At 43.8% G+C, this 16617-nt stretch overlaps 1 long non-coding RNA gene across 1 annotated transcript, besides 1 other annotated feature; it reads right to left on the bottom strand.

The window, feature by feature from the left end:
- Positions 1–4364: 4364 nt before the first annotated feature.
- Positions 4365–16595, bottom strand: LOC105374101 (uncharacterized). The gene is made up of 2 exons (XR_924469.3): positions 16197–16595; positions 4365–4604 (listed from the first exon to the last, which is right to left on the bottom strand). It is a non-coding gene; the product is annotated as an uncharacterized LOC105374101 (long non-coding RNA).
- Positions 16350–16439: an enhancer, noted in NCBI's record as "active region_20506". NCBI's record gives its function as "activates an Ori minimal core promoter by ATAC-STARR-seq in GM12878 lymphoblastoid cells {active_cell/tissue: GM12878}" and the evidence as "EXISTENCE:reporter gene assay evidence [ECO:0000049][PMID:35858748]".

Here is a 16617-nt window from a genome sequence, read left to right as displayed (position 1 = left end):
AGTGAGCTTAGTTGGCTCCTTTCATCTTAGATGGGAGTTGAAGCGAAGATTCTGGAGAGCAAGGAGGGACACCGCAAAGGACAGATCCTTCAGAATCACCAGCAAGTGGCCGGGCACGGTGGCTCATGCCTGTAATCCCAGCACTTTGGGAGGCCGAGGCGGGCGGATCACTTGAGGTCAGGAGTTCGAGACCAGCCTGGCCAACATGGTGAAACCCTGCCTCTACTAAAAGTACAAAAATTAGCCAGGCGTGGTGGCTCATGCCTGTAGTCCCAGCTACTCGGGAGGCTGAGGCAGGAGAATGGCGTGAACCCAGGAGGCGGAGCTTGCAGTGAGCCGAGATCACACCAGTGCACTTCAGCCTGGGCGACAATGCGAGACTCCATCTCAAAAAAAAAAAAAAAAAAGAAACACCAGCAAGTACAGATGAGGAGGTGAAAGCAGGCACGGGGTGGCAGGTCTTGCATTCTCTGGCCTTTCTATCTCCTTTTCTGGGTCGCCAATGTTTAGCCTGGCTTCTTGTCTTGTTGCTTCACCATCAAGAATCTCAACGTAGTTGACTTTGGAGGTCATGGACCCTTGTACTTGAAACTCTTTTCTACTCTATCTCTTTTCTCTTTCCCAGCAGAAGGCTAATGGAAACCAGAAATTAAAAGTAGCTCTACTCTTCCTATTTATTCTGGCAAAACTCTTGGACTGAGTAGTATGGGTAATTGAGATACGAAGTTTTGAGATATTTTGCCAAAGTGATTAGCTGACCAAAAATGTTGAGAACCATTGCTTTGTCACATAGGATGAACATGACTGGAATCATTATTATTTATAAGGTCCTGTGGGTTGTTTTCTGATATAATAATAACAACAAAACATTTGAGTAGCACATTACAGTGTAAAAAGTACTTCTTATATATACTTGATTCCAAAGTCACAGACCTCTTGTGGGTAAGTGATAACTTCCTCATTGTATGGCAGTTCCACTTAGAAACTATTCATATTGACATCGATTCCGGAGATTCCAGATTCCATTTGCTGTATCATTGCAAAGGCCAGCATAAAATACAAGCCAACTGCTGTTATCAGCAAATCAAGGTTGGAAGGTACTTAAAAAACAGGAAAAGCGTGTGGAAAATGCCTTGTCTTAGCGACTCTCAAATGCAATGTAATAAATGCTGGCTCTGAGGACAACGTACAAATCAGGCAATCTCAGGTGTGATGCCAAGAGGGAAAATGAGGTATTCATTCAATAATAGTTCATTGGCTGGGCGCGGTGGCTCACGTCTGTAATCCCAGCACTTTGGGAGGCCAAGGTGGGCGGATCACGAGGTCAGGAGATCGAAACAATCCTGGCTAACACGGTGAAATGCCGTCTCCACTGAAAAAAAAAATTAGCCAGGCGTGGTGGCGGGTGCCTGTAGTCCCAGCTACTCGGGAGGCTGAGGCAGGAGAATGGCATGAACCCGGGAGGCGGAGCTTTTAGTGAGCCGAGATTGCACTACTGTGCTCCAGCCTGGGCAACAGAGCGAGACTCCATCTAAAAAAAAAAAAAAATAGTTCATTGAAGGCCCATGTGCCAAGTACGCTATTAGATACCAGGACCTTGTCTACTCTGAGCCTGTAGAGTCTGCTCTTAATTTATTTTATTTTAGGGACAGTCTTGCTCTGTCACCCAGGCTAGAGTACTCTAGGTATGTGCCACCACACTCGGCTAATTTTTATTTTTTAATTTTTTTGTAGAGACAGGGGTCTCACTTTGTTGCCCAGTCTAGTCTCAAAACTCCTGGCCTCAAGTGATCTTACCTCAGCCTCCCAAAGTGCTGGGATTACAGGCGTGAGCCACTGCACCCAGCCTGCAATTTAGAAACATATAATGAAATGATGAGATTTGTTTTCATGAAATGATGAGATTTGTTTTCAAGACCTTCTATAATTTTAGTTGGCAGAGTTAGCTTTTTTTCCTCTCTACTGTGAATCCTAAGATATAATTTCACCTTTTATGCCCCTGTGTAACAACCCAGTGTATTCTCCTTCACATAGAAATAGATTGCTTGGCACAGGGGCTCACTCCTGTAATCCCAGCACTTTGGGAGGCCGAGGCGGGCGGATCACTTGAGGTCAGGAGTTCGAGACCAGCCTGGCCAACATGGTGAAACCCTGCCTCTACTAAAAGTACAAAAATTAGCCAGGCATGGTGGCGGGCACCTGTAGTCCCAGCTACTCAGGAGGCTGAGGCAGGAGAATCACTTGAACCTGGGAGGCAGAGGTTGCAGTGAGCTGTGATCACGCCACTGCATTCCAGCCTGGGAGACAGAGCGAAACTCTGTCTCAAAACAACAACAACAACAAAATTAGCTGGGCATGGTTGTGGGTGCCTGTAATTCCAGCTACTTGGGAGGCTGAGGCAGGAGAATTACTTAAACCCAGGAGGTAGAGGTTGCAGTGAGTCAAGATCGTGCCACTGCACCACTCCAGCCTGGGTGATAAAGTGAGACCCTTCTCAAAAAGAAAAAAGAAAAAAAGAAATATATCAAAGTAGGTATTAGGAGAAAGTGAGTAAGGGTCTATAGGTCTGATGTGAGGAAACTCAAGGAGACTGCTCCTTGGCTTCTCTAGAAAATCTACCACAAGAGATTTAATGTGGCCTTCAAGAAAGACCCTTGGAAGAAACCCTGGAAATGCTAAGACCTTGGCCAATGTCCCCTAACTTCTCAATGGGAAGTTATTTACTGGTTCTTATTCAGCTGAGACCACAACCTATGAGTACTGGAAAGATAACAGGAAGGAAGGGGAAAGGGAGATGTGAAAAAAGAGACAGAAATTAAAGAAAAATTCCACCCTTTAGTTGTGCCTTAGGTCTCCCCGAGTCCCAGTCAATACCCTGGGGCTTAATCCTGCTGCATCATTCTTCCAGTTTTCTATTAATAAAGGAAGTGCAAGGTGCTGTGTGCAGCTGTGAACATGCGGGTGCATACACACACACACACACACAGTTGGATTGTTGTTCAAAACTTGGGATGTTGTCTGTCTATCCTGAATTTTTCAGACATACACACCTTCCTCACCTGCTGCCAAGCAGCCCTATAGACAGTCTCCTGGGAATAGCAGGCCAACAGGAAAAGCTTGCTGAACTGCCAATGTGCAGACATTCACATGTCCCAGGCCCCAGCCCTGCACTCCCTAGGGTTCTTCTGCTCTAACACCACACAGAAGGAATATGAAACAGAAACTTGTTTCTGTCCTCTTTTCTTCTCCCTGCAATCTAAAAAACATTAATTCTCAAGGATATCTGGCCAAAGCATTGATTACTCTACAGAGTTCTTGCTATATTCAAGGGAGGAAACAATCTTGTGTTTTACTTTTAATGGCAATAGTGTATTTCTTGAGAATCTTCTCTTCCAACAGAATTAGCACACAAATCATCAGACAAGTGACCCTCAAGCCTGTAAGATGCCAATATTTCATTAGGTGAGAGGCCCTGAAAATGCTGCCCCATCTCCTGCACTTCTCTTTTACCACCGTTAAACATTCCTTTAGATTATTCCAAGTATGGATTCCCACACTTGGCTACACTTGCATGCCATCAGCTCAGTTTTTGCCAAATCTATTGTTGTGCACCATCTTTCTAAATATTTACAACAAAATCATAGTCCCTGATGGATTGTGGCAGGTCAGTCTTGGAGAGAGAAGGAAATGACCCTGACTGCCCTAGGATGTCCCAAGGAAACTAGCTGTGTATTTGAAGTATCCAAAAGGAAAGAAAAGGGAGGCACAGAAAGGATCGTATTAGCCACCATTTCAGTTTTGTTCAGAGCTAGCTTTGAATTCTGTCACCCAAAGCAAACCTCATTTGGGATAAATCTTCAACATCAGTAACATTTAGTCCCTTGAGAATATTACCTCAAATGGGGAAGTCAAAATCTCAAAAAGAAAATTACTTTCAATCATTATTCGAATACAATAGAAATTCTATGATTGCCTATTCACGTCAAAAATATTTCCTTATATGTAATAAATCAGTGTAGACTTGATTTCAGGATTGGATGTATGAAACTGACAGAAACTGATTTTAAAAATCTTTTATCTTGGTAAAACATTTTGGAATTCACAAAACATTTTCATATATTATGCCTTATTTAATCCTCACCACAGGCCTTTGAAAATATCCAAAGCCCGTTTTCTTTAACATTGTTTGTGGGGCATAGATATAAATTCCATATTCCCAGAAATCCTAGTACTTCCCTTCATGTTTTTGCTATGGTTTGAGGGGAAATTATAAGAAACATTGTATATCAGTTTCTCCATGGCTAATTTGGGGTAACTGCAAAATTCATATAAATAAGCTACTCAAGGTAATCTTGGTCAGTGAGTGTTTTATAAGGTAATTTATTGAAATGAGAGCTGAAGTTTGAATTGTTAGCTCAGCTATGCAGACGGCTTCACTGTGAGCATTGCACCACAGCCAGGCTCTCTCAGTGTAGATCAGAAGGACAGTTCACTGAACTCAGTAGGGCAGTACTGGCTGTGCCAGCTAGTACAATTCACAGCTTTATGGCCAGGACTGCAGAATCATGGCTTCCACTTCCCATCAGGGGAGAAAGCAGCAGCATCTGAGCAGATGAGAACGTTAGAAAAGAAAAGCTGGGCTATTATCTGAAATTGCACTGGCTTTGACTTGTCCAAAAGCTATTTCCCCTTGCAAAGTCACTTCGTGAGCACTGACTGTACCAGAATAATCAGCATGCTCTGTGGCTGGCTGAAGGGTGAGTCAGGATTCTAAATTCTAGCTGCAGTGCTGGGGAAAATGGAAACACCAGGCAAGGAGTACATCATGATGTCAGCAGTTTCCGAGGGCTGGTCAAAATGCCAGAAAACACGGCTGGTTTTACAATGCAATAAATGTATCTGAATGTTCCAAAAAAACGAGGCAAAGGATCTGTGCTCATGACATCTGCCCTCAAGCAGGTAGATGTTTTGATATGGTGTGCCTAGAACCTAACGTGCCACCAATTAAAGTGTATCGCTGGCATGCAAGGATGCAAAGAAAACACTGCTACATGTAAGGTGCAGCAGGCCCAAAGCTCCACAAGGTGGGCAGCCCCAAATGAAACCCCTTGGTCACTTCATCAGTGATCCAAATTCAAGTTTCAGAAATCATTCATCTATTCCTAAACTTTACAGCACGTTGAGAAACAATGACCACCAAAATGTCAACACAAAGTTTCACATAACTGACAAAAGATTGCTATGCAGAACATATAAAGAACTTTTAGGCTGGGCGCGGTGGCTCATGCCTGTAATCCCAACACTTTGGGAGGCTGAGGCAGGTGGATCACCTCAGGTCAGGAGTTCAAGACCAGCCTGACCAACATAGAGAAACCCCGTCTCCACTAAAAATACAAAATTAGCCGGGCATGGTAGTGCATGCCTGTAATCCCAGATACTCAGGAGGCTGAGGCAGGAGAATCGCTTGAACCCGGGAGGCGGAGGTTGCAGTGAGCCGAGATTGCACAAAACTCCGTCTTAAAAAAAAAAGAACCCTTACAAAGTAGTAAGAAAAAGACAACCCAACAGAAGAAATAAGCAAAATAGCAAAGAGGAAACCTGAATAGTCTACAAATATATGAAGAGATATTCAACCCCACTGGTAATCTGGGAAACGCTAATTGAAAAAAATGAGACACCAAATGGAAATTAATGTTCGCACAAAAAACCTATACATAAATGTTAACAGCAGCTTTATTTGTAATAGCCTAAACTTGGAAATAAACATAGGTCCTTCAATGAGTGATGGTTGAACAGACTGTGGTCCATCCATACCATAGAATACCAACAATAAAAGGGATTTTTTTTTGTTTTTCTTGGTTTTTTTTTTGAGATGGAGTCTCGTTCTATCACCCAGGCTAGAGTGCACTGGTGCAGTCTTGGCTCACTGCAACCTCTGCCTCCTAGGTTCAAGCAATGTGCCTGCCTCAGCCTTCCAAGTAGCTGTGACTATAGGCATGCACCATCACGTCCAGCTAATTTTTGTATATATATATTTTTTGAGATGGAGTCTCGCTCTGTCACCCAGGCTGGAGTGCAGTAGTGCAATCTCAGCTCACTGAAACCTCCGCCTCCCAGGTTTAAGCAGTTCTTTGCCTTAGCTTCCCAAGTAGCTGGGATTATAGGAGTGTGCCACCACGCCCGGCTAATTTTTATATTTTTAGTAGAGACGGGGGTTTCACCATCTTGGCCAGCCTGGTCTTGAACTCCTGACCCTGTAATCCACCTGCCTCTGCCTCCCAAAGTGCTGGGATTATAGGCGTGAGCCACCGCGCCCGGCCTACTTCTTGTATTTTTAGTAGAGACAGGGTTTCACCATGTTGTCCAGGCTAGTCTCAAACTCCTGGCCTCAGTGATCCGCCTGCCTCGGCCTCCCAAAGTGCTAGGATTAAAGGTGTGAGCCACTGTGCCCGGCCTTGGATTACTGATACATGCAACAACTTGGTGCTGAATATGCTGAGTGAAAAAAGCCAATCTCTAACGGTTACATACTACATGGTTCCTTTTATACAACATTTTGTTTAATTTTTATTTTTTTTCTTTTTAAGTTTCCACACACAATATTGAATACAACATTTTTGAAAGGATAAAATCTTTTTTTTTTTTTTTTTGAGATGAAGTCTTGCTCTATCACCCAGGCAGGGGTGCAGTGGTGCGATATCAGCTCACTGAAACCTCTGCCTCCTGGGTTCAAGCGATTCTCCTGCCTCAGCATCCCAAGTAGCTGGGATTACAGGTGCCCACCACCACGCCTGGCTAATTTTTTTTAGATGGAGTCTCTCCCTGTCATCCAGGCTGGAGTGCAGTGGTGCAATCTCGGCTCACTGTAACCTCTACCTCCTGGGTTCAAGCAATTCTCCTGCCTCAGCCTCCCTAGTATCTGGGACTACAGGCACGCGCCACTGCACCTGGCTAATTTTTGTATTTTTAGTTGAGACGGGGTTTCACCACATTGGCCAGGCTGGTCTCGAACTCCTGACCTCGTGATCTGCCTGCCTTGGCCTCCCAAAGTGCTGGGATTATAGGCGTGAGCCACCGCGCCTGGTCTAATTTTTTGTATTTCTTTTTTTTTTTTTTTTTAGTAGAGACGCGGTTTCACCATGTTGGCCAGGCTGGTTTCGAACTCCTGACCTCAAGTGATCTGCCTGCCTTAGCCTCCCAAAGTGCTAGGATTACAGGCATGAGCCACCTTGCCCAGCCTGAAAGGATAAAATCTTGCAAATGAAGAACAGAGGTTAAAAAGAAGGGGGAGGCCAGGTGCAGTGGCTCACACCAGTAATCCCAGTACTTTGGGAGGTCGAGGCAGGCTGATCACTTGAGGCCAGGAGTTCCAGACCAGCCTGGCCAACATGGTAAAACCCCGTCTTTACTAAAAATACAAAAATTAGCCAGGTGTGGTGATGCATCCCTGTAGTCCCAGCTACTTGGGAGGCTGAGGCACAAGAATTGCTTGAACCCAGCAGGTGGAGGTTGCAGTGAGCTGAGATTTTGCACGACAGGAAGATCCTTGTGTTTTAACTGTTCTGTATCTTGAGTGTGGAGGTGGATACATGGACCTACATATGACATAAAATTATATATAATTAAATGCATTCACACACACATAAAATGAGTCTGAGTAAAACTAGGGAAACTTGTACAAAATTGGTGGACTGTGCCAATTTTGATATTCTGGTTGTGACTATACTTTTGCAAAGTATTATCATCAGTAGGATCTGGGTTAACGGTATGCAAGTTCTCCGTATTATTTCTTTCGACTACATATGAAATCTACAGTTATCTGAATAAAATTTTTTTTTTTTTTTTTTGAGACAGAGTCTCGCTCAGGGTGGAGTGCAGTGGCACAATCTTGGCTCACTGCAACCTCCGCTCCCAGGTTCAAGCGATTCTCCTGCCTCAGCCTCCTGAGTAGCTGGGACTACAGGTGCTCCCCACCATGCCCAGCTAATTTTTTGTATTTTTAGTAGAGATGGGGTTTCGCCACGTTGGCCAGGATGGTCTCAATCTCCTGACTTCGTGATCCACTCGCTTTGGCCTCCCAAAGTGGTGGGATTACAGGCATGAGCCACTGCGCCCAGCCTGAATAAAAATTTAAATAAAAAGAGACACCATGTTTCACCCATGAGATTGGCAAACAAATTTTAAAATCTCACAGTATAAAGTTCTGGCAAGGGTGTAAGAAACATGAAGCCTTCATCCACTGCTACTGAGAGTATAATTAGCTATGGCCACTTTTGAGAGTAATATGACAAGCAACCAGTGAAATTTAAAATATCACCCTTCATTGCTCAACATTCACCTTCTGGGGCATATATACTCTAGAGAAATGATTCTGCATGGGCCTGAAAAAATTTGCAAATTTGCATGTAAGGGTTTATGATAGCAAAGGAGTGAAAATAATGTAAATATCCTCTAATAGGTGAATGAACAAATAGAACATAGTTTATTTATAATATAAAGCAGCATAAAGTAATGAACTTGATGAGAATGAACATATATATATATACACACACACACACACGCAGATAGATCTTAGAGACACAATATCAAATTTAAAAAGCAAGTTACGGATTGATATTTACTTATTCAACAAATACTTGGGTGCTTACCATGTGTCAGGAGCTGTTCTAGGAGCTAGCAGTACAGCAGAAAACAGACAAAGCAAGATAAAGTCTCTGCTTCACATATCTTACATTCTTGTACAGGAACACAAGCAAATAGACACAATACTATTTATGTAAAAATGTTAAGGGTGCATGTATGGTTTGGAATATATATCACATGTATACACATACACATACATATGTTAATGTATACACACATTTTTTAACTGCTCCTTGTGGAGCAGGGGTACTCTAAAAGCAGTGTGCCTAGGGAAGCCATACTTTTTAAAAAATAATATTTAAGGCTGGGCATGGTGGGTCAGGCCTGTAATGACAGCACTTTGGGAGGCCAAGGCAGGTGGATCACCTGAGGTCAGGAGTTCAAGCCCAGCCTGACCAACAAGGTGAAACCCCATCTCTACTAAAACTACAAAAATTAGCTGGGCGTGGTGGTGTGCACCTGTAATCCCAGCTACTTGGGAGGCTGAGGCAGGAGAATCACTTGAACCCAGAAGGCGGAGGTTGCATTGAGCCAAGATGGCACCATTGCACTCCAGCCTGGGCAACAGAGCAGGACTCCATCTCAAAATAAATAAATAAATAAAATCTTAAAAATAATATTTTAAAATGGACTAGAACGATATACTTAATTTTTTTGAGACAGGGTCTTGCTATGTTGCCCAAGCTGCTCTTAAACTCCTGAGTTCAAGGGTCCTTCCACCTCAGCCTTCTGAGTAGCTGGGACTACAGGCACATACCTGTGCCCAGTTTATACCATTTTTATGCTATTGGGAGGAAGGAAAATAAGTAGGACTTGGGGTGAGGGTGGTTGAAGGGAACGTTAACTGTATCTGCAATACTTTAATTATCTAAAAGCCATTCTTTGGCCAAGTATAAACACAAATGTTTTCTTTTGTAGTTACAATTAATAATTGAAAGATATATCTATATATATATATATATAGATATATATATATATATTTAGATGGAGTCTCACTCTGTCGCCCAGGCTGGAGTGCAATGGCACGATCTCGGCTCACTGCAAACTCCGCCTCCTGGGTTCACGCCATTCTCCTGCCTCAGCCTCCTGAGTAGCTGGGACTACAGGCGCCCGCCACCACGCCCGGCTAATTTTTTGTATTTTTAGTAGAGACGGGGTTTCACCGTGTTAGCCAGGATGGTCTGAATCTCCTGACCTCGTGATCCGCCCACCTCGGCCTCCCAAAGTGCTGGGATTACAGGCGTGAGCCACCGTGCCCGGCCATGAAAGATATTTTTATAGTATAAAAATTTAGAGTCTAAGTTAATATTTCATAAATTGAGGTCTGAGCACATTTCTCAAGATTGAAAACTACTGACGTATTTATTGATTCATCCTTGCCAAACTCACGAGTGACTAATTTATAAACTAGAATGGCCATTTGTGTTAATTTTTAAAGAAAGGGGCTAGAGACTCAATGAACAAATGGGTAGTATTAAAACCTAGGCTCTCCTTTTCTTATCATCACTGCAATTAATTGCATTAATCAGGCATTAAGCCCCTTATGAGATGTGGCTGGCACCCTAGTTTAGATCACGTTCAAAACATTTGCTCTTTTTGGGATTTGTAGGAACTCTTTGCAACTCTGTAAGTCTCCTTTTTTCATTTAAAATGAATGGATTAGGCTAAATATCTGAGATTAGACTAAATACTTTTCTGGATCTTAGCTTCTAATTCACTCAATTATATAGTAGTTCTTTTTCAACTTAATCTTTACAAATTTGTTATTATTATTATTATTATTATTATTACTATTTTTGAGATGGAGTCTCACTCTTGTCTCCCAGGCTGGAGTGCAATGGAGCGATCTCAGCTCACTGCAACCTCCCGCTCTGATTCTCCTGCCTCAGCCTCCTGAGTAGCTGGGATTACAGGCGCCAGCCACACCCGGCTAATTTTTGTATTTTTAATAGAGACGGGGTTTCCCCATGTTGGCCAGGCTGGTCTCCAACTCTAGACAAATGGCTAGAAAGTACTAGAATCAGGATTTCTTTTTTGTGTGTGTGTGAGTCATCAGCGCCAGGCCACAGAGGCTTTTGTTAGGAGTTAAATGAGGCTGGGCGCAGTGTCTTACGCCTATAATCCCAGCACTTTGGAAGGTGGAGGAGGATGGATCACCTGAGGTCAGGAGTTTAAGACCAGCCTGGCCAACATGGTGAAACCCTGTCTTTACTAAAAATACAAAAATTATGGCCAGATGCGGTGGCTCACGCCTGTAATCCCAGCACTTTGGGAGGCCGAGGTGGGCAGATCACCTGAGGTCAGGAGTTTGAGACCAGCCTGGCCAACATAGTGAAACCCTGTCTCTACTAAAATACAAAAACCTACATGGTAAAACCCCATCTCTACTAAAAATACAAAAATTAGGTGGGCGTGATGTCACGTGCCTATAATCCCAGCTACTTGGGAGGGAGGCTGAGGCAGGAGAACTGCTTGAATCAGGGAGTCGGAGGTTGCGGTGAGTCGAGATGGCGCCACTGCACTCCAGCCTGGCAAGACAGTGAGACTCCTTCTCAAAAAAAAAGAAAAAAAAAAAAGAAATAGAAAAAGAAAAAAATTATATGGGGGTGGTGGCGCATGCCTGTAATCCCAGATACTCGGGAGGCTGAGGCAGGAGAATCGCTTGAACCCGGGAGGTGGAAGTTGCAGTGAGCCAAGATCGTGTCATTGCACTCCAGCCTGGGCAACAATGCGAGACCTTGTCTCAAAAAAACAAAAAGTTAGCCAGGCGTGGTGGTGGGCGCCTGTAATCCCAGCTACTCAGGAGGCTAAGGCAGGAGAATCACTTTAGCAGGCAGCAGAGGTTGCAGTGAGCCGAGGTTGCACCAGTGCACTCCAGCCTGGGTAACAGAACAAGACTACATCTCAAAAAAATAAATAAATAAACCATACCAAAAAAACCCTCATTATTTTGATATCCATTGTTTAGTTCCAAGTTTAATTAAATTACGTAGAAACTTAATATAAAATTACTTTTAAAAAAAATTAATGCAGCTTCTTTTTTTTTTTTGAGATGGACTCTCACTCTGTCACCCAGTTTGGAGTTCAGTGGTGCTATCTGGGCTCACTGTAACCTCCATCCTGGGCTCAGGTGATTCTCCCACCTCAGCTTCCTGAGTAGCTGGGACTGCAGGCAGGTGCCACTACGTCTGGCTAATTTTCTGTATTTTTGGTAGAGACAGGGTTTCACTATGTTGCCGAGGCTGGTCTGAAACTCCCGAGCTCAGGCAATCCACCTGCCGCAGCCTCTCAAAGAGTTGGAATTACAGGCATGAGCCACTGCACCTGGCCAGCTATTTTTCTTTTAAGGAAAAAAAGAGGCTGCTCTGCTTATGGAGTAGCCCTTCTTTATTCCTTTACTTTATACAAAGAAAAAGAAAAAAAATGGGTGGTTTTACTTTCAAACTTTTTTTTGAGACGGAGTCTCACTCTGTCGCCCAGGCTGGAGTGCAGCTGCACAGCCTCAGCTCGCTGCAAGCTCCACCTCCCAGGTTCACACCGTTCTCCTGCCTCAGCCTCCTGAGTAGCTGGGACTACAGGCACCTGCCACCACGCGGGTAATTTTTTGTATTTTTAGTAGAGACGGGGTTTCACCTTGTTAGCCAGGATGGTCTCGATCTCCTGACCTTGTGATCCGCCCGCCTCAGCCTCCCAAAGTGCTGGGATTACAGGCGTGAGCCACTGCGCCCGGCCTACTTTGAAACTTTTAAAACTATTTGCAAATAAAATTTTTCTCTAACCAGTTAGTTTGCAGTAGAGTTTCAATTCAAGGTCACAGAAGAGGAAGCCAACTAACTAATGAAATGCTCACTAAATGATTTGTCAGTGTTTCATATTTTCTTTATCATCAGTTAGCATTCCCTACACCATCACTTTAGGGAGTCAATAGAATTTTATAGGAGTAGGCCTCAGTAAGTACTGGGAGGCCAGTAGCACTGTTCAAGCACATGGGCTGTCTGTGTTTGAAGCCTGACCTGTCATTTGTTCACTTTCTGACCTTGAGCAGATTACTTAAACTCTCTCGACCTGTTTCTTCATGGGGATAATACAAGTACTTCTAGGGGGTTTGTGAAAACTCATAAAGAGGTTAAAAACATTGCCTGGCATACAGTAAGCACCCAATAAGAATAAGAAATAATATTTGTATAGTAATTATGCCAGAAACTGTTATAAGAGCTGTATATATATTAACAATTAGCTATTACTAGTATTACTAATTCCTAGTTCAGGATTTAGCTTAGTAAACTTTCTGCTTCAGAAGCAAATACGAGAGGTGAAAACATCAATTTATTCTCCTCAGTCTTAGTTACATACTTTCCAAGTCAAGTCACAGAGCACAATTTCCTTGCTGGCAGGGACAAGACATGGGTTTACATGATATCACCTATCCCCTCAATTTAACAGCATGTACTATGCAGTTGGGCATTTAAGCAGAAATTAAGAGTTGGCAGGTATTGCTCAACTGGTACCCATTTTAGGAATAATGCTGAATCATAGCATTTTATCTGGTCTTCTCTCAGGATACTTAATGCTAATTTTTTGTATTTTTAGTAGAGACGGGATTTCACCTTGTTAGCCAGGATGGTCTCGATCTCCTGACCTCATGACCCATCTGCCTCGGCCCCCCAAAGTGCTGGGATTATAGGCGTGATCCACCGTGCCCGGACTTTTTTTTTTTTTTTTTTTTTGAGACAGAGTCTCCCTCTGTTGTGCAGGCTGGAGTGCAGTGGCCCAATCTCTTGCTCCCAGGTGCAAGCGATTCTCCTGCCTCAGCTTCCCAAGTAGCTGGGATTACAGGTGCCCACCACCACACTCGGCTAATTTTTGTGTTATTAGTAGAGACAAGTTTTCACTATGTTGCCCAGGCTGCTCTCAAACTCCTGACCTCAGGTGATCCACCTACCTCGGCCTCCCAAGTGCTGGGAAGTTGTTTTTTTTTTCTTTTCTTTTTTTGAGACTGAGTCTTGCTCCGTCACCCAGGCTGGAGTGCAGTGGCGTGATCTCGGCTCACTGCAAGCTCTGCCTCTCAGGTTCAAACGATTCTCCTGCCTCAACCTCTCGAGTAGCTTGGACTATAGGTCCCCGCCACCACGACCAGCTAATTTTTTGTATTTTTAGTAGACAGGATTTCACCGTGTTAGCCAGGATGGTCTTGATCAGCTGACCTCGTGATCCGCCCGCCTCGGCCTCCCAAAGTGCTGGATTACAGGCGTGAGCCACCGAACCCAGCCGACACTTAATACTTTCTTATGGCCCTTGTTATCCTGCAAGTTCTTCAAGGGCAAACTCTGTGTCTTAAGTAGTCACCTTTGTAACCCTTGCAATGCTGAGCATGAGACTGAACACTGGAGGAGAGGAGGGGAATAAAACATCTCCAGGGAAGAGGAATGTAATGGGAGCCTCTTCAAGTCCCACTGGCAGCTTATCTTTTGAGTGAGCTTTTTCCTATTTTCAAACATTTCTAGTAAAATAGGCATACCAAAGGGTATATCCAGGCAATACAAGCCATTGTAGTTAAATTCCACCATACACCTTTTCTGGCGCCTCACGATCAGCCTGGCTCTATTAATAATAGTCGTTACAGGAAGCTGCATGCCAGGTAGAAAGAGCCATTAGCTGTTACCACTCCACTGCCAAGAAGTAAAGACATTGTTTCCATTTCTTCTACTTAAGTCTTTTAAAACCTATAGAACATTATGTCCAGTATCTCTATCTCACACTCACTTTCATTTTCTATAGCTGTTGAAATTTTTGTTTTAATATTAGGAATATTCCATTCCTGGGTCTATAATGAATAGCAAACATTTTATACAGTACTATGGTTGGAATGGTAAACAAAAATAAGTCAGAAAATATTAATTTTTGGCCATATGGTAATTTTAACTTGTCCTCTTGGTGTGGTGTGGACGCACCCAGGTTGGACTTCATACATAGCCTCTTGCATTATATTGACTCATTGTCAGAGCTCACGAAGTCACTACCTAAGTGTCTGATTGCTACACTATACATTACTTCAAGATACTATGAAGGTTAATCAGATTACAAAGGGGAAATCATAAAGCTGAGTAAGCTTCTTGGTAATAAAACTATATAAATACAAAATACTGTTTTTTATTGGCAGATAATATATCGTGTTTTAGCACAACACATAAGCTGCTAGGCATTTATTCAATCTGATTGGGAATGGGTTAAATTTGGTTAAAAAATTTTACCTTAGGTTGCTTTAATTAAAAAAATGTTTAAGGCTGAGTGCAGTGGCTCACACCTGTAATCCTAGCACTTTGGGGGCACTGGGTGCAGTGGCTCACACCTGTAATCCTAGCACTTTGGCCTAGCACCGCTTGAGGCCAGGAGTTCAAGACCAGCCTGGCCAACATGATGAAACCCCATCTCTACTAAAAATACAAAAATTAGCCAGGCGTGGTGGTGGGCGCCTGCAGTCCCAGCTACTCAGGAGGCTGAGGCAGAATTGGTCAAACATGGGAAGCGGAGGTTGCAGTGAGCTGAGACAGCACTCCAGCCTGGGCAACAGAGGGAGACCCTGTCTCAAAAAATAGTAATAAATAAATTTAAAAAGTTCGGCCAGGCGCGGTGGCTCATGCCTGTAATCCCAGTGCTTTGGGAGGACGATCACCACTTTGGGTGGGCGGATCACCTGAGGTCGGGAGTTTGAGACCAGCCTGACCAACATGGAGAAACCCCGCCTATACTAAAAATACAAAATTAGCCGGGCGTGGTGGCGCATGCCTATAATCCCAGCTACTGGGGAGGCTGAGGCAGGAGAATCACTTGAATCCAGGAGGCGGAGGTTGCAGTGAGCTGAGATCGTGCCATTGCACTCCAGCCTGGGCAACGGAGTGAGACTCCGTTCTCAAAAAAAAAAAAAAGTTTAAAATATCATTGGTCTTTAAAGTTATACATTCATTCTTTGATAATTGCTATGTTGAACGCAACCTCCTAACTGCTTTACAATGATTAAGCACTAATGATTTGAACCCAGGTTTAAAGTCTGACTCTCAACACATGTGCTCTGCCTTCTCACGAACATGATTTCAAAAATCATAGCCCCGGGATTTGGGATTGGTGGCTTATGCCTGTAAACCCAGCGACAGAGCAAGACCCTACTCTTAAAAAAAAAAAAAATTAAAGAAAAAAAGAAAAATAAATCATAGTGTTGAACTGGCAGGTTTCACTGAGACGAAACTTGGGACTCTTCCTTTTTTTTTGTTTCGAATAAAGCCATTCTAGAATGAGACAAAATTCTAAAATATTTTATAGTTAACAGTTTAAATTGGGTTTAATCTTGACAAGACTATCTAGGGCTATATACACAAATCTCTTTTGGAGAAAATACCACAACTAAACTGAAGTCTATTCCTGAATATGACAGACCAGGTCAAATGGTTATCCTTGCCCTCCCGGGGGATGTCACTCATAAACGTGCCAAAAGTCACAGTCTAGGCCCCATTACCTTACATGCTCATGACCTTCCCAGGGAGGCCCCTCGCCCTTACCAGGCACTTTCATCTTGGGAAGACACATCAGTCCTGGCGGAGAAAGCAGCAAGGCCTTTCCCCGGCTCACAAAAATTAATACAAATCTCAGAGGCTGCATCCCACAGCCGTGACCACCGTGACTTGGCATCCCCTTTTCTGCAAACTTAAATGTTATCTAGAAATCGGGCCTGGCTCTGAAAGCCAAGGGCCTGGCAGGAGCCCGAGAAAGGGGAGAAACTTTCTGCGGCCCCAAGCTAATGGCAGTCACTGCACCGAGACCCGTCCCCTGGCATCCCTTTGCTCCAGCTGGCCAAGACAGACCACCAAGGTCAGCCAGATTTCCACCCAGTCTGGCCGGGCCCGGACCCAGCTGGGAATGAACCGAGAAGCACCGGGACCCGGATCCCGGCGTGAAAGGCCGCGCGCGGGGCACGGCGGG

The sequence above is a fragment of the Homo sapiens genome, chromosome 3, assembly GCF_000001405.40.
Source record: "Homo sapiens chromosome 3, GRCh38.p14 Primary Assembly".
NCBI classification, from domain to species: Eukaryota; Metazoa; Chordata; class Mammalia; order Primates; family Hominidae; genus Homo; species Homo sapiens.
This window is presented reverse-complemented; position numbering and strand designations above follow the sequence as displayed.